At 37.9% G+C, this 27,233-nt stretch overlaps 1 protein-coding gene across 6 annotated transcripts in view; it reads left to right on the top strand.

The window, feature by feature from the left end:
• UBE2W (ubiquitin conjugating enzyme E2 W) overlaps positions 1 to 25,195 on the top strand; it is a 98,767-nt gene extending 73,572 nt beyond the window's left edge. For 3 of the 6 annotated variants that reach the window (NR_073121.3, NM_018299.6, NM_001001481.4), the window contains one exon: positions 11,176 to 19,072. Coding sequence is in view for 3 of the 6 variants with exons in the window: in NM_018299.6 (NP_060769.5) it covers positions 11,176 to 11,189 (14 nt within the window). In the remaining 3 variants the exon portion in view is untranslated. Of the gene's footprint in view, positions 1 to 8,600; positions 8,685 to 9,376; positions 9,501 to 11,175; positions 19,073 to 24,773 lie in introns of those variants that run through there. The other 3 variants (NR_073119.3, NR_073120.3, NM_001271015.3) reach the window with 3 other exon arrangements.
• The last annotated feature ends 2,038 nt before the right edge of the window (positions 25,196 to 27,233 follow it).

Below are 27,233 nucleotides of genomic sequence, written 5' to 3'. Positions count from 1 at the left end.
GTAGAGATGGGGTTTCTGTGTGTTGATGAGTCTGGTCTTGAACTCCTGACCTCAGGTGATCTGCCCACCTGGGCATCCCAAAGTTCTGGGATTACAGGCGTGAGCCACCACGCCCAGCACTACACCAGATTTTTAATGGGGCAAACAAAATCATAGCCATCATAAAAGTAAAATGTAAAATTACTTTGACATTCGGAGACTCTACCATTGTATTACAGAAAAGAAGTTGTTAATAATCTTTAGATCAAATTAGAACTATTTACTGGGAGCCCAGGCATGGTGGCCTACGCCTGTAATCCCAGCACTTTGGGAGGCAGAGGTGGGCAGATCACTTGAGGTCAGGAGTTCAAGACTAGCTTGGTCAACATGGTGAAACTTCGTCTCTACTAAAAGTACAAAAATTAGATGGGCGTGGTGGCTTGCAGCTAATTCCACTGGAGGCTGATGCATGAGAATCACTTGAACCCTGGTGGCGAAGGTTGAAGTGAGCTGAGATCACGCTACTCTACTCCAGCCTGGGTGACAGTGATGGAATGAGACTCTATCTCCAAAGGAAAAAAAAAAAAGAACTAGTTACTGGGAAGTCTGTTGTTTGAAATAGAAGTTTTGATGCCTTGTTTGTTCATTTAGTTCTGGTAGTATTCATGGCCGGGAGGAGGCGGGAGTCACAGTAAGGGGTACCTCATTAAATTAGAAAGCTCTCTATTCTAATCATTATCCCTTAAAAAAAAAAAAGTGAGATTCTGCTGATTGTAGTTGTATTAATAAAGTACTCTCTAATTTTAAATTTCTATTGTATTTGTTGGGATGGTAATGATAATTCAGAGCTGCTAGTATTTCTAAACTAACCTTAATGCTTCCCTGAAGAGTTATTTGAAATTAAAAACAAAAAGTCTGTATTCTTCAATGTAGTTTTTGAAGCAAGTAAACAAAAACCATCCCCTGTGATTTTTGTATACATAAGAGTATTGCCTTTGGGGTTTTTTATGTGTGTGGGTTTTTTTTTTTTTTTAATGTTAACCTGATAATAAATTAGAACTAGCAAAAACTAATTGAACTATGACCTTCTCCCCGTATCTTCTATCCAGTGTGAAGCCTTCTGTATCCTCACCTAAATTGAGTGAATTAAAAACTTAAAAGTTCCCCAGGTGTTGAACGAAAAGATGACCCGAGTCAGTGCAATAGAACTATGCCAGTAGTTAAAAATTAGAAAACACAAAGAAGTGGCCGGGCGTGGTGGCTCATGCCTGTAATCCCAGCACTTTGGGAGGCTGAGGTGGGTGGATCACGAGACCAGGAGATTGAGACCATCCTGGCTAACACGGTGAAACCCTGTCTCTACTAAAAATACAAAAAATTAGCCGGGCGTGGTGGCAGGCGCCTGTAGTCCCAGTTACTCGGGAGGCCGAGTCAGGAGAATGGCATGAACCCAGGAGGCGGAGCTCATAGTGAGCGGAGATCGCGCCACTGCACTCCAGCCTGGGCGACAGAGCAAGCCTCCGTCTCAAAAAAAAAAAAAAAGAAAAGAAAAAAGAAAACAAAGAAATATGCTGTTCCTGAGAGACAGAAATGTGAAAATTTGGGGTAATATCAATAAGAAATACATATGACTTAGAAGAAGAAGAAAATGGCAAAACTTTAAGAGCTGTGAAATAAAAATACGTGTATTTTACAAACTGTAGGTTCGATGGAGTTCATTACAAATCCAGTGAATGATTGTGGGGGTGGGAAGGGAGATAGGTGTTTGAAAAGTTTGGGAAAAAAATAGTAGATGAGAAGAACAAAGTTTGAATTTTGAGCCATAAAGGTAATGGAGAATTAATCTACCAGACAGGACACTAAAAATACTAATAGAAGAACAGATCATTGAAATACAGTTCCTCTTATTTAGGCCCAGTTGAATATAACATTTGAATATATGATAAGGCATTACAAATCAGTGATAAGGGGAAGGATTATTTAGTAAGTAATCATCTTGGAAAATCTGTAATCCTTTGGAGAAGGAATATTTTCACTGCATAAAATATTTCTTGTGGGTTCAGTATTTGTATTTATTTATTTTTTATTTATTTTTTGAGATGAAGTCTCGCTCTGTTGCCCAGGCTGGAGTGCAGTGGCGTGATCTAGGCTCACTGCATCCTCTGCCTCCTGGGTTCAAGCAATTCTCCTGCCCTCAGCCTCCCTAGTAGCTGGGATTACAGGCGCGCCACCATGCCCAGCTGATTTTTGTATTTTTATTTTTATTTTTGTTTATTTATTTATTTATTTTGAGACGGAGTCTTGCTGTCGCCCAGGCTGGAGTGCAGTTTCGCAACTTCGGCTCACTGCAAGCTCCACCTCCCAGGGTTCACACCATTCTCCTGCCTCAGCCTCCCGCGTAGCTGGGACTACAGGCGCCCGCCACCTCGCTCGGCTAATTTTTTGTATTTTTAGTAGAGACGGGGTTTCACTGTGTTAGCCAGGATGGTCTTGATCTCCTGACCTCGTGATCCACCCACCTCGGCCTCCCAAAGTGCTGGGATTACAGGCATGAGCCTCCACACCCGGCCAATTTTTGTATTTTTAGTAGAGACGGGTTTTGCCATGTTGGCCAGGCTGGTCTCGAACTCCTGACCTCAGGGTGATCGCCTGCCTCAGCCTCCCAAAGTGCTGGGATTACAGGCGTGAGCCACTGCGCCTGGCCTATTTTTAAAATATAACCAAAAAAATGTTTTTTTTCAATGTTGGGTATCAGCTCTCTGGAGAAAGGAAGAATTTCTGAATTTAAAAGGAATCACAAAGAAATTAAACATTCAATTATATGAAAATGTACAGCTTCTTTAACTTTAAAGCACTATCGTTATAAAGTTTGAAAAAATTTTGAAATGTTTATAGCTTATTAAAAATAAACCGTTTATGAAAGTTACTTAAGGATAAAAAACAAAATAGGCAAAAAAGTGCAGCTCAGTAAAATAATTACCAGTTTAAGATTTTGAAACAGTTTCTGAATCTGCAGAGTTTTATAAAACAAATGCAATACTGAAGGGGAGAGTAAAGGGTAGAATAAAATTGTTTTCATACTTGCTGGCGGTATGTAGCAAGTTAGTGTAATCCTTTAAGGAAGCAGTTTAGCAGTATTTAGCAAGCTTAAAATTCAAGAGCAAACATTTGTCTTAGTTATTAAACTTCAGAGAATCTGTCCTAAAAAACATCCTTAACACAAGAAAAGTTTTATTTATGAAATATTCAGTGTAGTACTTTATTATTATATACTCAGTTTCTTAGTCTGCCATCTGTTACCTCTACATGTGCTATTTGCCTCAAATTAATTCTACTACACACACAACTCCTCTCTTCTTAGGAGCTCTTTCACCAAAGCCTTGTTAAGTACTCCCTCCTTTGAGGAACCTAATAAACTTGAATGCTGGTTTTGTTTACATTAAGATACCCTCAGATAATTCTGATGTAGCTAGTCTTCTGAGAACTATTGTTTCTGAGATTATTTGACAAGGTTTCCAAATAGACTCATTAATTAACAGGCCTAATTCTTTCTTACATTCTTTTGCCTTTTAGGACCAAACACTAAGCCGCTTCTTCATGCCTTTACAAAAAAGCCTTAAAAAACAAACAAAAAAAATCCTTGAGTGTCAGAAACTCCTTTATCTTACTATAGTGAGTTCCCACATGCATCAAAAATTAAGATTAGCCAATTAGGAATATTGACAAACATAGTTATTTTTAAGTGTCAGTGTTTTTAAGACTCTAGTAATTCTGGTTCAGATAGATTCAATCTCACTAGTAATTGAAAGATTCTTCTTTTTTACAAGTGTTTTTAAACCACCTTGAGGTTTTTCATGCAACTTCAGGGGACATTGTGTTTTAGAAGATGAGTTTTTTTAAAAGTACACATTTTTTAAAGTACAACCCTCTCTCCTACTTTCTCATGCCATTATTAGAGGGTATTCCTATTTTTTCCTTATTTACTACTCCCTAGTGGAGAAAGTTCAAAAAGATAATCGGTTTTCTAGCCCCTCTAATGCTGGGTTATATGGTTGAAAGGATTTATGAGAAGTCTTTCATCTAAGAATACTTCAGAGTTTCTTCTTACCTGCTTTTGAATAAGAAATGGGGAAAGATAAAACCAGAAATATAAGGATTAATTCTTTAAATTAGAATTTATAATAGAAATATAAGTTCTTATTCTTTTTCTTTTTCTTTTTTTTGACGGAGTTTTGTTCTTGTTGCCCAGGCTGGAGTGCAGTGGCGCCATCTTGGCTCACCGCACCTCTGCCTTCTGGGTTCAAGAGATTCTCCTGCCTCAGCTCCCGAGTAGCTGGGGTTACAGGCATGTGCCACCACGCCCGGCTAATTTTGTATTTTTAATAGAGATGAGGTTTCTCCATGTTGGTCAGGCTGGTCTTGAACTCCCAACCTCAGGTGATCTGCCCCCTCGGCCTCCCAAAGTGCTGGGATTACAGGTGTGAGCCACTGCGCCCAGCCAATAGAAGTTATTTTTCTTAGAGTTAACAGTTTTTATGTTACTGAGAAATCCATACTTTGCTGACTGAAGTAGAAAGTTCTTTTTAGTAGTTTGGAGACACGTAATCTCCAAGTAAGCCGAGAAGTACCAAAAAAATAGGCTTTCAAACCAAATTAACCTTTCACATAATATAAAATAGTCTGAAGTTCATACAGTAATTAGTTTTTCCAATAAACAGATTAAAGTTATCCTTTCCTCTTTCACCTCTCCCCGCTCCCCCAATGCAAATGAGCTATTTTTAAAAGGCACTGGATTCTTACTCACCTGAATTATGACTGTTCTACTCCAGTCCCCAGTCCTGGGTACATAAATTTTTTTTTTTCATTTACAGATAATTTTGTTTAAAATATCCTTGGTTCATTGACTTGCGATGACCATTCTTATCTCTTAATATATTTTCTCCTCTTGCTTGAATGCTGAATGTTTGAATCATTCCCCTCCACCATTCTCCTTTTAAGGGACAACTTTGTTTTGAAAGTGAGTTTCATAGCAATCAAGGAATGGAAATATTTGTTACACATTGAGATGGTAAAGCAGCTGTTCTGTCATCCAACTAGGATGGCTGCAGAGAATCTTCTTTGAACTTTTTCTTCACTTTTTTTTCCTTCACTTTTAAAAAGCTAATGCATTTCAGCTGTGTAGCACATACTGTCTTCTCCTTTATATATATCAGAATAGCAGTCACAGGCAATGTGAATAATAGCTTGTCCTGGCATTATAGGTAAATTTGGGTAATCTTACAAAGATAATCATACGCTTGTAAAAAGTATAACACATTAATTTTCTTATTAGAACTTTCCACAAGTCAGTATCTTTTCCTGCTTAGCTCTAGGTGTTATACTGCTTTGTTCCAGTATAACACCTAGTTACCAAGACATATGGACTCTTGATGTTTCTTAGCATCATCTAATTTTCAAAGGCTTACAGAACAGGCCAGTTTCCTTATGTGACTTTCAAGGCTAGGCAGAAAGATCAGAAACTGAACAAAAGCTTACTAAGAATTGGATAAACTCACTGAAACACTTAGCATTTCAGTTTCTAGAAACTAAGTGGAATTGTGTGCCTCAGGTCTCAAGCTCCACAGTCCTCCTGTGTGGTGCTTCCTGACATACTTGGGTCAAGGTGAGTCAGTGTTTGTCAGATCTAAGCAAAGAGGCAAGAGAGGTTTGGTTTAGATTAGTGATTGTATATATACTTCCTGGATGCTGGATGCAGGATGGAGGCACAGTTAATGAAAAACAACAAATCTGAAATTTGCTTCATTTCCTGGTTTTATAAGAGGAGGACTCTGCTGACATGCTAAAGCTGAGCTGCCAAATACCAGTGTTAAAGTTCTTGGAAGAAGACACAAGGGCTCCATAGCTCAGGGGTTAGAGCACTGGTCTTGTAAAGTTCTTGGAAGAGACCTCTCTCAGCTTAAATTTGTGGTTTTCTACATTATTAGTTAGAATCCCTTAAGAATTAGGCCAGTCACTGTTTACCCCACTGTTATTGTCTTTGCTTGCATCATAGCTTGTATTTATTTCTTTTGAGGTTCTTATTTACCACACAGTGATTTATTACCATGTAAAAAGTCACCTCATTAGTGTTTAGAGGTCTTTGGATATATTAAATAAAAAGTTGTATTGATAGTGACTGCACATTTCTTTATTACTTACTTGTAGTTGACTATCAATGTGTTTTCCAGAATTCCTTTATAGTTTCTATTCACTAAGAAATTGAAGTCATACCTGCTTTGAAATGCAAATTTATTCATTGCCAGTTAAGGCAGTGCGGGAGTGGGAGGGGATTCTTATGCTTTGAATAATCCATTGAGCAGGGAGAATAGGGTTAAAAAAAAAACAAGCCTAACCAAAATAGGTATGCAAAATAGACAACTCACCTCAGCATATAGATGGGCTAAGGAATTTTCTTATGATTCAGTGCTAGAATCTTCCTTAGAAAACAGATCTGCATACAGTTCTATGCACCAATAAATGAATGATTGAGGCCTCAGAGTTCTATATCATAAAACAGACATGATAATTGTTCTTGGGAAAGATAGAAAGTATCTTTTGAATGTGTCTCTTTGTGAGACCATAAAAATAATTTCAGTGAAGTAGCCAACTAAAGTCCATTAGTTGTATGGTCCATTTGTTTTCTGAGGTCAGTATCAGGCATATACAACTTAGTTTCATAAATGATTTGCTTTCCACAGCGGGGAGGACAGATCTGTGGCTGGCTGGAACCATTCTCCTTAAAGTGTTAGAAAATTGAATGGTTGGTTATAAACTGTAGGTTGAATATCCCTTATTCGAAATGGTTGGGACCAGAAGTGTTTTGGGTTTCAATTTGTTTTTCTCGAATATTTGCATATACATAATGAGCTATCTTGGGGATGGGAGCCAAGTCTAAACATGAAATTTATGTATGTTTCACATATACCTTAAACACATATTCTGAGGGTAATTTTATACAAAACTTCATTTATTTTTTGAGACAGAATCTCACTCTGTCACTTAGGCTGGAGTGCAGTGGTATGATCATGGCTCATTGCAGCCTCAACTTCCCGGGCTCAGGTGATCCTCCCACCTCAGTGTCCCGAGTAACTGGGACTACAGACAACGTACCACCATGCCTAGCTAATTTTTGTATATTTTGTTGGGGGGTATAGATGGGATTTCACTATGTTGCCCAGATTGGTCTCAAATTCCTGGACTCAAGCAATCTGCCCGCCTCAGCCTCCCAAAGTGCTGGGATTGCAGGCATGAGCCACCACACTGGACCTATACAGCATTTTAAATAATTTTTTGCATGAAACAGAGTTTTAACTGTTTAACATCATGAGGTCAAGTCTGGAATTTTCCACTTGTGGTGTCATGTTGATACTTAAAAAGTTTCAGATTTTGGATTTAGGGATGCTCACCCCGTGTAACTTAAGGCTCCTGTTTGTTGAAGATTGGTTTCAGAGACCTAAGCTCATAGGAAATGAATTGGCACAATGTTTAGATGGCATATCCAACAAAATGAGTCTGTAATTTGGGGAAGGTGTAGAGGAATATCGGTTTTTAAAAACCATGGACTGCATTCTGATTCTGTTCAGCTGGAACATTTCTATAGAAGTATAAAGACTACAAGAGGGCAGAAGCATAAAATTGTCTCAGACTAGTAGTATCAAACTCCTTTTCTTCCTGCTGTATAGTTGCTGTCCATAGATTTACCTGTGTTGTGAACTTTTTTATTTGTACCAGCTTTTGGAGTTATAAAACCATTTACTAAATTCCTGAGTCCAAACTTTTACTCAGTTTGTTTGTGCCTTCTGTTTCCTGCTGATTAACAAGTCTTTGTCTGCCTACTTTGAAATATCTCTTGAATTGGTTCGTTAAAGGAAAATTTTAATTCCCTAAATTGTTGAGAGACAAAACTAAATATTTTCTCTTTCTTGGAGGTAGCATCCACTTCATATCCACTGACCTGTATTACTGTGTTCCTTTTTTTTCTAGTCTTCTGTCCCTGGGGATATCCAAGGAGATGGGTTTCCATGATAGTTGGAAAACTATATGATAGTTTTTATTCTCAGGAGAAAACTAAATGACCTTCTTCTAATATAGTTCTTTCTCATTTACATTTCTCAGAAGCCCAGTGAAGTTAGCCATGGTAGGTGTCACCTCTTTGAAACTGGCAGCTTGTATGTTATATTTGAAAGTGTAATTTTAGTAGAGGCTTCTGAATTTCCAGGAAAAATATAAATGGTTAATAATTAGATTTTTCTTCAGGCCATTATCTTGTTACAAATGCTTTAACCAAGAGATTAAATATACCATTCTTTTACCACCTTTTGTCAGCCTGTATTTGTCTTGACCCAAAATGGGTTACTCTGATTTTTTTTATTTTTTATTTATTTATTTTTGGTTGGGGGGTGAGTTTGTCCTGGTATCCAATAATACTTTCATCTGGCTAGCAAACTATGTTCTTTCTAGTAACGGATAAGTTTTTTGCTTCTTAGTTATGGCCATCCTATTTAGAAAAAGGATGGCGATGGCTTTGGCTCATAGTTGTATCTATACTTAAAGTTTGCTTATAAACTCTTGATTACATATAGCCATCATGGATTCGTAGTCCCGCAAGTCCCTGTTGATCTAGCTGTTACAGATCATTTGTTTCTTCAAAACGAGGGTATTCAAAGGTGGGTAGTATCATATCAGTCAGAAACAGGGATTGGGATCTGGAAAGTAGCTTCACAAAGATTTCCTAATCATTTTGGTAGCACGTTCTACAGAAAACCTACTATACTAAAAACCTTCTGCAATGAACAAGTTAGTAAATAAAGATGCATTTGTGCTACCACCTGTCAAAGATGGTATGTCTTTGGAGATACAAGTTTATTGGTAGTTAACTGGATAACATTATGTTCAAATTGAATTTTATCTGTCACTTTTCTTATTGTATATATTGTTATCTTGTATCACCTTAAAATTTATCCCCAGTAGTTTGACATATTAGGTAGAATTTTAGTGCCATCTTTTAGCTTAGAGATTTGAGTATGATTAGTTTTAGTGTTAGTTTCAGCGACCAACCCTATTGTTACTCTATTGCAGAAGCGATGTTTTAAGGAACTTATTAATATTCCTAAGTTTGTTTTATATCCATAACAAGTATATCTTCTCTGTCTGTTTCAAGTACCACAATAATTTAAAGAACATCCCCCTTTTTTTTTTTTTTTTTTTTTTTGGAGATGGTGTTGGCTAGGGATCACGGCTCACTGCAGCCTCAACCTCTGAGACTCAAGCGATCCTCCCACCTCAGCCTCAGCCTCCCAAGTAGCTGGGACTACAGGCATGCACTACCATGCCAGGCTAATTTTTGTATTTTTTGTAGAGGCAACATTTTGCCGTATTGCCTAGGCTGGTCTTGAACTCCTGGGCCCAAGCAGTCCATCCACCTCAGCCTCCCCAAATGCTGGAATTACAGGCGTGAGCCACTTTGCATTGCCAAGAAAATTGTGAGTGAACTTTAGAGGATATAAACTACTTGTTTTCTTAAAGATACTATTCTTATTTATTTTAAGGCGTCTAATGAATTAGGGATGATTTATTTTTAAACTCCAGTCTGTTTCCCCCTTGAAATTACTGGATCATGGAATACTCTATGAGTTTGCCCAGCTTAGAAGTCAGATTTTACTGGTTTTTAATTAGCAGTATATCAATTCTAACATGAGATAGTGTATTAATCTGTTTTGTGTTGCTCTGAAGAAGTACCTGAGACTAATTTATGAGAAGAGAAGTTTATTTGGCTCACAGTTTGGAAGACTGTAGAGAAGCATAGTGCTGGCATTTGCTTCTGGTGAGGCCTCAGGAAGCTTTTACTCATGGTGGAAGGGTGAAGGGAGAGCAGGCAAGTCACATGGCAATAGAAGGGAGCAAGAGACAGGAAGGAGGTCCCAGCCCCTTTAACAGCCAGATCTCATGTGAACTAATGACTGCAAGGAGGGCACCAAACCATTCCTGAGGGATCTGCCCCCATGACCCGAACACCTCCCCATTAGGCCCCTCTCCAACATGGGGGATCACTCATTTCAACATGAGATTTGAAGGGGCAGATATCCAAACCATATCAGTCTGTAAAATATTTTGACTAGGATTTCAGAATTTTTTCCTTGAGTGCTTTCACAACTCTTGGCCACCAGTCTTAGTTTCTTTATGTAGCTTCCTTCTGAAGAATAACTCATCCTCAGAATAAATCTTTCAGATATGTTTTGTGAAATAAATTTTGTAAAATAAATAATCCTAAAGTTGTCTGTGTTACATATATATGTGTTGAGGCTACCAGAAGTTATTATTAAATAATTTCATGAGTTTTTTAATGACCCCATTTGCATATGTATCTATACTTGCTGAAAGCTTATTTTCTTTTTTTTTTTTTCTTTTTTTTTTTTTTTATGAGACAGAGCCTCCCTCTGCCTCTCAGGTTGAAGCGATTCCCTTGCCTCAGCCTCCTGAGTAGCTGAGACTACCGATGTGTGCCACGACGCCCAGCTAATTTTTGTATTTTTAGTAGAGGGAGGGTTTCACCATGTTGGCCAGGCTGGTCTCAAAACACCTGACCTCAAGTGATCCGCCCGCCTCGGCCTCCCAAAGTGCTGGGATTACAGGTGTGAGCCACCGTGTCCGGCCTGAAAACTTATTTTCTAAAGGGAAATTAATCTTAACTGTTTATTGATTTGGAGATTGTATCTCATTGGTAAAGAACAGTTACTTCCTTCACAGTCTAAAGACAAATTGTGTATTATTCTGTGTTAAATAGCATGGCACTGTTGATCAGGAGTTTACTTCTGTCTCATTACAATGTGAACTTGTTGCCCATAAAATAATTCTCTTAAGATTGATACATCCTGACTATGTACTAACATGTCATGTCAGTTTATTATTTTAAATAGAATGTGCTAATAACATATCATTTTAAGGTTTATGTGAACTATTTCTCTGAAAGAATAAAAATTTGTCACTGTATAATTGAACATATATTGCACTTTGTATTCACAGGTTTGGGGGAGGCAGATCAGACATGTAAACTATGTACTTCTTGCTAATTGAAATTATTTCTACATTAAACAGACTTGTAGAATTTACTTATACATGCTTGACTTTTTAATTATCTTTTTTCTCCTTTTCTTAAAGATGATACTTGTTGATGCCACTGTTATCATCCTCCTAGCAGAAGATAGTCCTACTGAGAAAATGAGCACTTTGATCATTCAGTCTTTGAACTTTAACCTTTGACTGGAAGTGACCTATAGGCAATGAAGACTACTTCCTTTTACTGCATTTTTACTCGTGTGCATTCTGGGCGCATGTTGATCGCTGGTTCAGTCCAGGCAACTGACATGCTTTTATTAGTCATACAGTATTAATGCAGGTGTCAGGAAATGTCAAATATAATTCCATTTTTTATTTTTATTTTTTTAAGCTTTTGGAAAAGCTCCAGGTCCTCATGTATTGTGCAATAACAATGACTTCCTTGGCGGTTTTGGTACGTTCATTGCCGGCAATGGGCGTTGTAACAGGAAAAGTTTTCATTAACTCCTGCCATTCAATGATTAATGCATGATAGGGCCTATGAAATGAACTTACTGGTTATAGTGGGAATATAAATAAAGTGAGGGATCCAACATTACTTTAAAAGTCACCCCAACTGTTTATATTTGGATTCTATGCACTGTGATCCTAAGGTTAACAGCATGAATTAACATGCGTCTTTAAAGGACTGTAATGAAAGATCATTGCATATTTATTGAATTGTTTATATCTACTGTCAAGTTGTTTTGACATGGAAGATTTTCAAGTAACATTGGCAGAGAGGTACAGTATGTTATCCCTATGGTGAAAATAAATTAATTTGTTGTATATAGTTCCTCAATCTCTGAAGTAAAGGTATGAGTAATATAGGGTATGAATGGTTTAATCAAGGCTTTATTTTGGAAGTAAGAAAAATGGCAGTGATGATTAAATTGCTGCAGTCCATAATTTGGGCTTGTTATTTGTACATTAAAGATTTTTTCCAAGTAAGTTACACTCTGTTAACTTCCTGCTAGCCATCAGCATGAGCCCTACTGCCTAAACACTATTTCATTTATTTATGTTTGGAAACCCCGTAAACATTTTTGTTTGCAATCTTGTTTCTTTTGTTATAAGTCAAGTTTGAATGTTACAATACTTTTATTGAAACTTTTGTTAAGTTTTTTCTTGTAAATTTTCTTTACTTGTGAGTATCATCTTGTCCTTTAATCCTGTACCCTAAAATAAGAAATACATTTTTGACAGAGGCTTAATGTTTTAACAAAAGAGTGTGGACATTTTTATTTTAAAATTTAGGCAAAAGTCACTATCAAATGGTTGCTTATTTGTCTCACACAGCCATATAGTTTTTCCTGGAGGGTTTTGTTTTGTTGTTGTTGAAAAGACTTTGCTTACAGCTAGATGAAACTTTCTATAGAAAAAAAAAATTGTTGAAAGGTCCAGTTCTCAGTACCATGTGAGTTAATGATACTACAACTAAGTTCTTTTTAAAAAGTGATTAATGTATTTTATAAATTACCTTTTCACATATGCAAAATCTGTTTCTACTACAATGTTATTTTTACTAATGCCTTATTGTTGCACTCTTTTTGAAATATCCTGCAGTGAATATATGAATCAATTTGGGCTTAAAACTGAAAGCCAGTTGGCTGAAAGGTTTGAAATACGTACCCCAGTAAAACCATTCAATCAATAATTGGTAAATAATATTTTAAAATTGTTTTTAATCTGTATAGATGACATTTTGTAGCTTTGTACATGTTGTTAATTAAGGGCATATAATTTTACACTCAAAGTATAATTGCTGAACTCAGGGGTGGGTAGACTTCAAAAATATGTCTGCTATAGAAATAACTTGAAAAAAAAAATTAAAACCGTGGCCAGCCACCAAATTGTGGACACTGTTTATATACTGCTAGTTAACAATTACCACTTTTAAAAAATTATAACCGTTTTTGTTCTATCTTGACTAGATAAATTCTCACAATGATCTCTGTCAGTTTTATTAGTTGGCCTGTTTAACCAAGACAGAAAGTCTTTGAATTACTCATAGTTTTAAACTGCTTTTAATATGAAAATTGCAGCTGTAAATTATGTATTTTCATATTTTGCGTAACTGCTCTACACTACTGTTTGACTTGATCTTCTTCTGGGGGTTAGGGAGAAATCTGTCTCCATATTGCTGGTTCTCTTACCAAAATGCTTTTATAAAGAAATGACCGGTGACATTTATTCACCAAAGGAATTAATATACTGAGTCAAAGATTAACAATGCTATACTATAGAGTAATAGGTCATATATAGCCTCAATTGAGTTTTTTATGACAATATTTTAACATACCTCTCTCTCTACATATAAATACCATAAAGTAAACTAAAATGACACAGAGGAAAGTAGAGGAAAATGAAATAATTTCGGTACATCTTATGGTTTAAAGAGTAGAAAATAAGATGAAATATCCTAAAATATAGGAGCACAGACATTTAAAATTCATAATCAGGCTAACAACACTCTCTTGAATTTAGGAATCATTGAAAACTCCTTGCACTTAGATTTAATTTATATGTTAGTTACATTATTAAAAGTCATAAGGCATTTATCTGAGTCATTGCTCTACAGAGAGCAATTAATGGCTTGTAATAATAAAAAGAATATTTCTCTGTAATGCATTGTTGAAAGACAACCAGAATATCAAGAAAATGTATATAGGAATATGCTACTTGCCTCCTCCCTGCATTTCCTCGTGGGGCACTATTTGCGACATAGGCCTACAGAATTAGACTTTCATACTTAGAAGATAAGGTACACTCTTCTTCTTTTATTTATTTATTTATTTATTTTTAGGCCATTCTTCTGGTTTGCCAAATTCTATTAAGACAGTGATACATTTGCTTCCTTATTTATGCATGCTTAGATCATGAACATGATGCCCTTCTTTTTTTTTTTTTTCTTTGGTCAAGTAGGGATTAATGCCATAGGTTTAGAGAGAAGGATTGTTTTCAGTTTTTAAGAGAATTTTTTAAAAATACATTTTATGGTTCTCTTAAGGAATTAATATTCACTTCTGAAGGACTTACTTGTAATATATAATTTATCATTTTAGCCAGCAGGGAAATAAATCATTTTTAATCCCCAGAAGAAAGTGCTGGAAATAGCTTCTATATAGTCAGCAGTTCACCTGGAGAAAGATCTTAATTCCTTGTTGTTTTGACTAGGAATATCAATATTTGGTATAAAATAACTAGAATAGTTTATTACCTTTTCCCTCATGAAATTTTAAATATATGCAAATATATATATCATTAGATTCCTGTGGTGGATAATAATTTCTTCAGATTCTAAAACAGGTGTCTAGTGACTGCTTAATTGTTTCCAAGTTGCATCAAAGATGAATTGGTAAATAATGGAAATGAGTAGTGATATGAAAATGGTTATGTAACTACATATTACTTGTTTCTGGTAATCAAGTCTTATTTTTTAAAAGCCTATTGTTTTTCAGAATTGAGATATTTAAAACTTGTTATAACTTCTTCCTAAAAATAGAAGAGAAGAGGAGGTACTGTGTGTTACAAAAATTTTTTTAAATAAAGAATTCAGTGTCACTAGTTCTAAGCCTTTATGGTTACTGCTGCTTATATTTCTTGATCTCACTTTCATTAATTTTTTTGTACATATCTTAGCTGAATGCTTAAAATTTACAATTATTTGTAATTGTGTATGTAAATTGCTTTTCAAAAAGAACTGAAGCTTAACCATATTCTTCTTTTCTGAGGATTCATTATCAGAATCAGCTACTATACTGTTCTGTGTTATAGTAATGCCGTTACTGCCTGTGCATGATTGAGGTCTGTGAAGAAGGTGTCTTTTAATCTGCACCAACTGGCCCCAATCCTCTTTGTAGTCCTTTTTAAATTGTTTTAAATCTGTCCTTTATTTTTCTTCCTATTTTTCTGCCTCTTCCCACTGATGTCCAATGTGTCAGTCTTCCGCAGTTTCCTTTTCTCACTTCTAATTTATTCTCTCTTTTTTTTTTCTGAGGTTAGGGATTCTACAGAAGGACGATTATTAAAATTATGCCATGAATTTTTGAAAAATTTAAAATGCTCTCCTACAAATAAAATACATGGAGTTTCTGATACTAATTTCAGTTTGTCAGTAGATGGCTAAATTTGTTGAATAATTGACTACTTGGTAAATGAGCTGTTAGCTGTAATTAGTTCTTTAGTACTAATATTAAGGAAATTTTGTTATTTTCGGATGAGGACTCTCCCAAAGCCAAATTATTGTCCAAGCAAATTATTTATTTTTTCCATTTAAATTTCTAAGTCATTTTGAGATGTGGAATGATTATTTTTATTATTTATTTATTTATTTATTTTTGAGACGGAGTCTTGCTCTGTCACCCGGGCTTTAGTGCAGTGCACGATCTTGGCTCATTTCAATCTCCACCTCCTGGGTCTAAGCGATTCTCCTGCCTCAGCCTCTTGAGTAGCTGGGATTACAGGCATGTGCTGCCACACCTGACTAATTTTTAGTAGAGACAAGGTTTCACCGTGTTGGCCAGGCTGGTGTTGAACTCCTGACTTCAAGTGATCTGCCCACCTCAGCCTCCCAAAGTGCTGCGATTACAGGCATGACCCACCACACCCAGCCTGGAATCATTTTTTAAAAATAATTTGTGGGAGACTTGCTTTCTCAACATAAATTGTGTGTGGGTTGTTTTTTGTTTTTTGAGACGGTCTTCCTCTGTTGCCCAGGCTGGAGTGTGCAGTGGAACAGTCATTGCAGCCTTGACCACCTTGGCTCAAGCAATCCTCCTGCCTCCCGGGTAGCTGAGTCTACAGGTGTGTGCCACCATGCCTGGATGGATAGAATTTTTTTTTTTTTTTTTTTTTTTTTTTTTTTTTTTAAAGACACGAGGTCTCACCATGTTGCCCAGGCTGATCTTGAATTCCTGGGCTCAAGCATTCCTCCTGCCTCAGCCTCCCAAAATGCTGGGATTACAGGTGCAAGCCACCATGCCTCGTCTGTTTGCCGATTTAAGACAGGTTTATGTACATCATTATCATTAGAGGCACATAGAATCTAGACATGTACTTGAAACTTAGCTCTCTATCCTGAAAGTTGAAGTTAGGGTTCTTTGATCCTGGTGAGATGTTAATTGTAATTTTAATTTTCATATGTTAATATTGTGACTTGTATTTTGTGATGAGTCTCTAGAATGATTAAATGACTATTTTTTTATGAAAAATTTTTTGTTAATAAAATATCTGAGGGTATTTTGAGTATGTGGAAGGAATGCCTGAATAGAAGCTGATCTATCTTAACATACCTCAAGAACTCCAGTTTTAATATGGTGAGTGAGGAGTTGACTGGGAAAAGGAGAGATCCAATTCTTGTTCTAGTCCTTGGCACATACACTCTCTGGGTTTTGAGAAAAGGATGGTCCTACAACGATTCTAAGTTGTTTTCTCATTGGTCCTACAACAATTCTAAGTTGTTTTCTCAAAGGCAAAAGCATGATTTCAAAATGACATCACTTGTCAGATTTTCTGGTGTATGGAAAGATTTAATAATCCTGCCTCTTTTGAAGCCTGAAACTTACAATTTAAAGCCTGAAATCTACCATAAGGAACTTGGTAAATTGTGTCAGATACCATGAAAATGCATCTTTTCATAGTTAACCACAGATTGTTTATGTAAAGGCAAATTGGTGGTCAGGTTCAAGGTAAAATGGATTATTGGGTTGATTAGTAGCCAAAAACTAAATGCATGTTCAGGTCAAAATGAATTTGTTTGTTTTAGTTGGTGCCATTTTCCTTTTATTATTCAGAACTACAGAGTGTGCATTTTATTAATAGGAATGAAAGCTCATGCTTGAGGATTTGAATAGGGTGGATGTATATATTTTATAAACTCAAGTTGCAAAATATGTAAAGTCACTACTTTTTAAATAGAATATAAATGTTAAAACAGACAAATCTATGTTATATATTTTTTAATACATGTATCAGACTTGTTAGTTGAATGCAGATTACTTTGCTTTATGGAATTTCATAACTTTTAATAATAAAGCAGTTGTTATTGGATTTTTTCTGTAGACTTGAATACTAAATGGGATAGATACCAGACCTCTTTTTGGTTTATGACGTAAAAGTATTTGTACAGTAGTTTCTCTTCACAAAAGACTGAATTTTAAAGGATTATAGAAACAGGAACATGTCCATTTCCAAAATGAGTGCAACAGAATGAAGATAGTCACTTAAACCATCTATTTAACACATCACCTTTATGTAATATGTAGCTAGTTTTAGTGTTTTAATAAGTCCCAACTAAAGACTGAGTGTTTTCAGTGAAGATGGAAATGGAGACCCAGGCACTTGCTTAGAGTTATCGTGAGTCCGATGTTCCTGAACTTCAAGTTGTACAATTAAGGGCATACTCTAAGAACTTCTGGATGCTTTCTGGAGTATACAAACAGATCAACTAATGACTTAAATGAGTGACTCTTGAAGCTGCAAGAAGAGGAAAGAAATAACCACAAGAAGGGGCTATCTCAGCATCTGTTATTCCTGACAGGAGGAATTAAATATGCTCTGCTGGTAATTCTAAGCTTTTCTGCAGGGGATCTGCTTGCCCCAGGAGCACCTTAGTCCTCATTGAGGCAGCCATTCTGCCATAAAAACGATCATGTCTCAAGCTGTTCCTGCCGTCCTACACAACTATGTTAGTAGATGGTTAGATAAATATATGAACCATCTTTTGTACTTTGATGATGCCCTTTTCCTTTATTATAATCCTTAATTTCTACTTTCCATAGTAGGATTTGACTTTTCTCCATTAGTTTAAGCTACCCTGGATAAGTGACTCTGTTTATGTCCTCCCTATATTTCTTACTCATTTTCACACTAACATAACACGTAACAAAATTAAACATAAGCTAAATTGAAGAAGCAAGTGAGACAGCTAAGAGTTTTGTGTACTTGGACAACAAAGCTCAAAGCCACTGTGGTTATCTGTCCTGTTGGGAGCCCCTTTCAACCATTTTTTTAGTTGCCTGTAAGATTTATTTTTAATGTTTGCCTGCATAATGCAAAATACATAAGTGGGAATCCCTACGCCCTTTACAGTTAAGTGGATTATGGAAATAATAAGGAAAGTTTATCAACTAAGGTAGGAAATATCTTCTCATGTCTGTATCTGGCCTTCAGGGACTTAATGTGGGTGAATATATGTCATTAGACAAGATCCTAATATAGATGGCTGTATCCTGCAGATAGCCAATTCAACATTAAAATTTTATGTTTCCATACCTCAATGAAAACATATTTCTTTTATCCTGTTATAATTTAATGACATTCCCATCCAACTTAATCAAGCAATGATACTCAGTAGTCCTCTCCTTGCATTTTTCAAGTCCTGTTGAGTGTAACTTTAAAATGTCTCTGAGATTTCTACCTTCTCTCCAGTCTCCTTACCATTAGGGCCTTTCACTACCTGGCCTTGGTGTCCCTAGGCTGCTCTTCAGCTGTCCACAAACCTTGTTTCATAAGCAGTAGCAATGCAAGCTTCCACTGCCGTCTGCTAATGTTCTTCCCTCCTAGAATGTTCATGATCTGCGTTTCTACCTGAAAGGTCTAGTTCAAAGGTAGCTGAAAGGTTATCATCCTTGTCCTTTCTTCTCTCCCTACCAGTCATCTATCCTGAACTTTTTAACAGTAGGGACAGTGTTGCAATTGTGTTTGTGTCCCCAGCACGTAGCACACAGTACCTAGTATACAGTACCTGTAGCACATAGGCATTTAATAAGTGTGTATTGAATTAACTTGGTTATGCTTGTATTTTTATCCTAGCTTTCTCAAAGAAACTTAGGTGCTAGCTATTTTGAAACATATATCCAGAACCACCACCTGAGTAAAATGTATAACAGGACCCTGCTCTTTCTATCCCAGAGAGTTTGAGAAAACTACTTTTAAATAAATCATTAATCATTCTTCATTGGTTTTGGCTTTTTTTATAGGTGTTTCTCATATCTTTATCTCTGAGGCAAATTGCTTGTCACAAATTAATTGTTTTAAACTAAATACATCTCAGGAACCATAAAATCATAAAGGTAAACCTGACATAGAGTTTAAAAACCAGCATTAAGCAGATAATTATTGTGTGCCTTTCATATGCCAAGAAGGATGGCAGATGAGGTATATATCTTCAAAGGGCATATGTAATAAGGGAGATAATAAATAGAAAAGCATATCATATAAAATGTGACAAGCCTTAAGAGGTGCAGATAGTTTCTGATTATCAAAGAAACATGTCTGTGAAAAGTACTGTCATGCATAAAGATGGGCCAGGCACAGTGGCTTACGCCTGTAATCCCAGTACTTTGGGCAGGTGGATCACGTCAGGAGCTTGAGACCAGCCTGGCCAACATGGTGAAACCCCGTATCTACTAAAAATAAAATAACGGCGTGGTGGTGGGCGCCTGTAATCCCGGCTACTTGGGAGGCTGAGGCAGGAGAATAGCTTGAATCCGGGAGGCAGAGGTTGCAGTGAACTAAGATCATGCCATTGCACTCCAGCCTGGGACAGAGCGAGATTCCGTCTCTAAAAGAGAGTGGATGGGTGCCAGGGTTGGAAAAACTACATATTAGGTACTGTGTTCGCTATCTGGGCGATGGGTTCAATAGAGCCCAAACCCCCAGCATTAGGCAATGGATCTGTGTAACCAACCTGCACGTGTACCCCCTGAATTTATTTTCTTTAATACTGTCATGGGCTAGGCATGATGGCTTATACCTGTAATCCCAGCACTTTGGGAGGCCAAGGCAGGCGGATCAGTGAGGCCAGGAGGTCGATACAAGCCTGGCCAACATGGAGAAACCCCATCTTTACTAAAAATACAAAAAAGCTGGGCATGGTGGCACATGCCTGTAATCCCAACTGTTTGGGAGGCTGAGGCACAAGAATTGCTTGAACCCGGGAGGCAGAGGTTGCAGTGAGCTGAGACCACACACTGCACTCCAGCCTGGGTGACAGAGCAAGACTCCATCTAAAAAAAATAAAAATATTGTCATGACCTGAAAAATGTAAACTTTGTAGATGGGTTTCAGGCAAGAACAGAGTTCCCAAGTACAAAATGCTAGGACAGGAGAGGAGTTTGCATGAAGATCAGTACAAAGGACTGTGGGACTGGTTCAGGATGAGCAGAGTATTTGGAATGATGTAGGTCCTTGTGAGTCAGGGTAAGATTGAAGTTATTTGGTCCTTCAGTTTCCATTAGCTGAGAGATGAGCCCAGCAACTAAGAGTTGCTTTTGTCCTCAGGAAATTTATCAATTGGGAAGAAATAGTTATGAAACTGAGCTACTGTGTGGGCGGTATCACAAGGATAGTTGCCCAGGATATGCCTAAAACAAGGAGTCTGAAGTACTACCCCAGCATCCCACCCACCAAGAAATAATTTAAAGCTAGACCCAGTAGGTCTACTTCATAGTAAAGATCAGCTAAGTAAACCAGCCATCATTCAGACTTGCACCCACTCTAGGGTGGTTCAGGGAATGTCAAGCCTTGGACTTGGATTAAGGTGTGGTCCCTGACTGGCAGTGTCCTCAGGAGATGACATGCAGAAGCAAATGAATATCCTCTCTGGAGGAAGATACTTTCTTCCTAGGACATAAAGTTATCACATTCTAGGAAATAAGACACCATGATTAACAGCCAGCAGAAATATAAACAGACCTAGAAAGCATTAGAGGAGTTTGACATGATCTGATATGGTTTGCTGATCTGCCTGGCTTAACTTGGGATCTTCTGAAGAATGAGAACCTATCTTGTTTGTCTTTATACTCATTTAAATATTGAATGCCTACTGAGTCTCAAGGAACTATGATCAGGCAGGGAAGGCAGACAGGTAATTGAAATACAGTTTGACACTTGGTATCCTGGGGTAATCACAGAGTGCTGGGTGAGCATCAAGGCAGGAAAAATCAACACATGGAGTCCAAGAAAGAATTCAGGGAACATGACAAACTGCAGGATGAGTATTTGCCAGGTAAAGGTGGGAGAGTGAAGATGAGGGCATGTATAAGCACACACTGCAAAGACCCGGGTATGATAAAGAACAGTGTGGTGGGAGCATTGAATTAGAGTGGTAAAAAACCATGTTATGGCCAGGTGTGGTGGCTCACACCTGTAATCCCAACACTCTGGGAGGCTGAGACGGGCAGATCACCTGAGGTGTGGAGTTTGAGATCAGCCTAGCCAACTTGTCTCTACTAAAAATACAAAAAATTAGCCAGGCTGGTGGCATGTGCCTGTAATCCCAGCTACTTGGGAGGCTGAAGTGGGAGAATTGCTTGAACCAGGAGACGGAGGTTGCAGTGAGCCCAGATCGCACCACTGCACTCCAGCCTGGGCAACCGAGCAAGCCTCCATCTCAAAAACAAAAACCATGTTATAAAGTTTTGACTTAATATTGTGTGGGCAAAGGGACTGGTGGAATGAGATTTGCACTTTGGACAAATTACCTTGGCCTTGGCTGTAGTCTGGAGAATGGATTGGAAGAGTCACAGAGCTGGGGATGTGGGGATGGGAGCAGAACCCAAGAGGCTTTTTCAGTAATCCAGACAAAGGATGATGGCTTGAATTGATTATAATATGAACTACTGGAATAAAGATAGACATAGTGGAACAGAATAGAGAGTCCAGAAATACGGTCAATTGATTTTCAAAAAAAGATGCCAAGGCACTTGTGGGTGAAGCAATACTCCATCGAACGAAAGGCATTAGAACATTTGGAAAGCCGTATGCAAAAAACAAAAATCTTACCTAACACTGTATACAGAATTAGCCCAAAATGAATCATAGACCTAAATTGAGAGCAAAAACAATAAAACTTCAAAAAGGAGAAAATCTGAGGTCTTGGATTTGACAAAGATTTCTTAACTATGACACAAATTCTAAAAGAATGAGTTGGACGCATCAAAATTTGAAACAGGTTCTTCAAAAGACAAACTATGAAAACAAGACAATATCTTTGCAAATATATCTGATAAAGGATATATTTATAATTTTTAAAGAACTTAAAATTCAGTAACAAAACCCAATGAAGTAATGGGTGATTTTGTTTTTTACTCGAACTGATATGTAACCAAAGAGAATATAGGAATGGCAAACAAACACGTGGAATGCTGCTTAACACCTTTAGTCCTTAGCAAAATACAAATAAAAACAATGATAAAAACAATGATGAGATACCACTACACACCCACTGCATTGACCATACCAAGTTGTGGCAAGGATGTGGAGCAATGGAAACTCTCCTACACTGCAGGTGGGAATTTAGAATTGTATAACCACTTTGGAAAATAATTTGGCAGTTTCTTTAAAAGTTATGCACATACCTACTATACAAATCAGCCATTTCACACCTAGCTATTTGCCCAAGAGAAAAGAAAGCATATGTCCACAAAAGGCCTTGTACACTAATGTTTATATGAAACATAAAACATTTTATGTTTTATGTAATCTGCCCAAACTAGAAACATCCCAAATGTCCATCAATAGGTGAACAGATAAGCAACTCTCCATACAATGGAATAATATTCAGTCATAAAATAGGAACAAACTATTGATACATGTAATGAAGTTGATGAATCCTGATAAATCTCGGTTATGCTGAGTGAATATAGCCAGGCCAAAAAGCATACATCCTGTATGGCTTTATTTACATAAAATTTTAGAAAATGCATCCTTAGTTACAGTGACAGAATCAGATAAATGTTTGCATAGGGAAATGGGATGGCGGGAAGGGGAGATTACAAAGGGGAAGAAACAAACTTTTGGGAATGATACATATGTTCATTATCTTGATTGTCTTGGTTTCACAGAGGTATATGTCAATCTCATCAAATTATACACTTTATTTGTAGATTATTGTACATTATACCTCAATTAAAAAAAAAACACAATTGGCCAGGCACAGTGGCTCATGCCTGTAATCCCAGTACTTTGGGAGGCCAAGGCAGGCAGATCACGAGGTCAAGAGATCGAGACCATTCTGGCCAACATGGTGGAACACCGTCTCTTCTAAAAATACAAAAAAAAAAAAATTAGCCGGGCCTAGTGGCACATGCCTGTAGTTCCAGCTACTCAGGAGGCTGAGGCAGAAGAATCGCTTGAACCCGGGAGGTGGAAGTTGCAGTGAGCCAAGATCATGCCACTGCACTCCAGCCTGGTGACAGAGCGAGACTCTGTCTCAAAAAAAAAAAAAAAAAAAAAAAAAAAAAAGGAGGCTTTTAGTAATAAAGACAGGATGATGGCTGCCTGAAATAAGGTATGAGAAAGTGGACAAATTCAGCCATAATCAAATTGTCCAAAATCACACACTTTAAATGTGATGGAGCTAGAATTTAAAACCTGAGTCTAGCCTGGGCAACATGGTGAAACTCCATCTCTGCAAAAATATAAAAATTAGCTAGACATGGTGGTCTGCACATGTGGTCCCAACTACTTGGGAGGCTGGGGTAAGAAGATCGCTGCACTCCTGCCTGGATGACAGAACGAGACACTGTTTAAAAATAAAAAAAAAAAAAAAAAACCCAAACCTGAGTCGGACAAATTCCAAAATCCATGCTGAAAGTCAGTACACTTATACTTGAGATAACCACTATGTTTTGGGCTTGGACAAATGAGTTGAGGGTGATAGTTTTCACCAAAGTACAAAGAGAAGAAGCAGGTTTGGGAGAAAAGGAGATGTGTTTGCATTCCCCCGTTGCACCGAGTATGGTAGCTTATATAGTCAATTAGTAAGTGGAGACGGGAGCTGAAGTTTTTAGGTAGCAATGATAGTGAAATATTTAGTGTGATGATTTTACTCAGTTTATGGGTTAATTGCCCATTAACTAATAGCTGGAAAGGAATTTAATACTTTTTTTTTTTTTTTTTTTTGAGACTGAGTCTCATTGTGTCGCACAGGCTGGAGTGCAATGGCGCGATCTCGGCTCACTGCAACCTCCGCCTCCCAGGTTCAAGCAATTCTCCTGCCTCAGCCTCCTAAGTAGCTGGGATTACAGGCGCATGCCACCATGCCTGGCTAATTTTTGTATTTTTAGTAGAGACAGGGTTTCACCATGTTGGCCAGGCTGGTCTTGAACTCCTGACCTCAAGAGATCCAACTGCCTCGGCCTCCCAAAGGGCTGGGATTACAGGCGTGAGCCACCGCGCTCAGCCAGGAATTTAATACTTTCTAGTCCAAAAGCCTAATCAATGAATAAATTATTTCTGAATGTCTTTGAAGCGATCACCCTGATCACCTTCATTTACAGGGATTAACCTAACTCAGAAAATCATTGCACTTTTGAATAAATCTGATTATTAGAAAGTTATTTCTTCCAGGTCAGGCGTCGTGGCTCACACCTGTAATCCCAGCACTTTGGGAGGTTGAGGCAGGTGGATCTCTTGAGTCCAGGAGTTCGAGACCAGCCTGGGCAACATGGCAAAACCTCATCTCTACAAAAAAAATACAAACAAATTAGCTGAATGTGGTGGTGTCACCTGTAGTCCCAAGTAGCTGGAAACTAAGGTGTGAAGATTGCTTCAACCTGGGAGATGGAGGTTGCATTGTGCCACTGCACTCCAGCCTGGAGATAGAGTGACATACTGTCTCAAAAAATAAATAAATAAATAAATTTTTTTTTCAGAACTGAAATCTGCCTTCATACTATCTATTACGGATTGAATCATGTCCTCCAATAAGATGTGTTGAAGTCTTAACTCCCAGTACCTCAAATTGTGACCCTATTTGGAAATAGAGTCATTGCAGATGTCATTAGTTGAGGTGAGGTTATACCGAAGTAGAATGTGGCCTTAATCCAATATAACTGGTGTCCTAAGAATTGGAGAAGAGACTCAGACACATGGGGAGAAGACCATGCAGTCATGGGGTGATGTATCAACAAGCCAGCAAATGCCAGGGATTGCTGGGAACATCAGAGGCTGGAAGAGGCAGGGAAATGTTCTTCCCTAGAGCTGTGGGAGAGAACATGATTCTGCTGACACCTTGATCATGGACTTCCAGCCTCCAGAACTGTGAGACAATAAATGTCTGGTTTCTTTTAAGTCATCCAGTTTGAACTACTTTGTTATAGCAGCCCTAACAAACACACACACACTATCTCTTTTTTCTAGTTCTGTCTTCTGGAAACACGGAATAAGTCCTGGTTTCTTTTCCATATATTTTCAGGTGTTTTGAGAACATATTTCAAGAACATATTTCATGACACAGTGAGGAAAACATTTCCTTTACTGGTTTTTAATATGATACATTTTCAAATCCTTGCATCATTCTTTTGTAGGGTCAAGATTTTCAAAGATGCTTTAAAGTGTAGTAACCAGAACTGATCTTACCACTTCAAATAGTCTAAGATACAAAAGAGAATAGAACTTGCTCTGTGGTTTAGAGCAAGGATTTTCAAGCTGTTTCTCAGAGCTTTAGGAGTTTCATGCAGTTACCTCAGGGGCACACGTGAGTATATTTCATATTGATATTCTATAGACGTTTGCATTAGGAGAAAGTGTTTGCTGTTGAAAACAAGCTCAAAAAACATTTCTTTTTCTTTTTTCTTTTTTTTTTTTGAGATAGAGTTTTACTCTTGTCGCCCAGGCTAGAGTGCAGTGGCGCGATCTCGGCTCACTGCAACCTCCTCCTCCCAGGTTCAAGCAATTCTCCTGCCTCAGCCTCCCGAGTAGCTGGGATTACAGGCATGTGCCACCACGCCCGAATAATTTTGTATTTTTAGTAGAGATGGGGTTTCTCCATGTTGGTCAGGCTGGTCTTGAACTCCCAATCTCAGGTGATCTGCCCGCCTCACCTTCCCTGCCCTCCCAAAGTGCTGGGATTATAGGCATGAGCCACTGTGCCCAGCCGAGACAGGGTCTTGCTCTGTCACCCAGGCTAGAGTGCAGTGGTGTGATCTCGGCTCACTGCAACCTCCGCCTCCTGGGTTCAAGTGATTCTCCTGCCTCAGCCTCCCAAGTAGCTGGGATTACAGGCACGTACCACACCTGGTTAATTTGTGTATTTTTAATAGAGACAATGTTTTGCCATGTTGGCCAGGCAGGCCTTGAACTCCTGACCTTAGGTGATCCACCTGCCTCGCCTTTTCAGTGTTTAAAAGCAAAGACATAAGCCTACAGCATACCATTTATTATCTCATTTAGTGTCTTCAGCTCAGCATATTATTTAAGCATTGTAACTACTATCAAACATCATGCTACTATCACTCGGGTCATCTTTCTATACAGTAGCCCCCCTTATTAATGGTTTTGATTCCCATATTTGCAGTTGCCCACAGTCAAAAATAGGTCTAAAAATAGGTGAGTACAATACAATAAAATATTTTGAGAGAGAGAGAGACCACATTCACAAATAACTTTTATTACAGTATATTGTTGTAATTGGCCTATTTTATTATTAGTGATGATTGTTCATCTCTTACTGTGCCTAATTTAGAAGTTAAACTTTATCATAGGTATGTCTATGTAGGAAAAAGCATAGTATATAAGGGATTTGGTACTATTGGCAGTTTCAGCAATTCACTGAGCGTCTTGGAACGTATCCCCCGTGGATAAGAGGGAACTGCCATGTAAATTTAGAAAGGAGATACTGGTTGTTCTGGTGTGGCTTGTTTTTGGTGAGTTCAAGCAGGTTCCAAATAGTCATTCCTTTGCTTTCTATTTGAATTAGTGAACTCCACACATATTGTTTTCCATTTTCTGGTCTGTTGAAATATACACATTCTAGTATAAGAAAAAAGTGTCTTGAGTGAGTGTGAGGCGAGTGCAGCAGCTGTGGGGACCTGCCTTGCCCTGCCTCCATGAAAGAACTTGCTGGAAAGCTGCAGGCAGTGCGGCAGCTGCTGTGGGATCTGCCTCAGTTTCAGAGCCATGGCCACACTTCTTCCACACAGCCCCCAGCCAATGACTGAGCATGGTGGGGGCCTGGCCATTTCTGCTCAGCGTGGCACTTCTCTAACACGTAATCCTTGCTCTAAACCTTCACATTGGCTGGCGAGAATTTGTCAGATCTGCCTTCCAGTCCAAAGCTCTGTCTGCCCAAATTTGCCTCTTCTTTACCTTTCCAGGTTTCAGATCTGCATCAT

This window comes from Homo sapiens, chromosome 8 (assembly GCF_000001405.40).
Source record: "Homo sapiens chromosome 8, GRCh38.p14 Primary Assembly".
In the NCBI taxonomy this organism is placed as follows: domain Eukaryota; kingdom Metazoa; phylum Chordata; class Mammalia; order Primates; family Hominidae; genus Homo; species Homo sapiens.
Note: the sequence above shows the minus strand (reverse complement) of the source record. Positions and strands in the feature narration are given on the sequence as shown.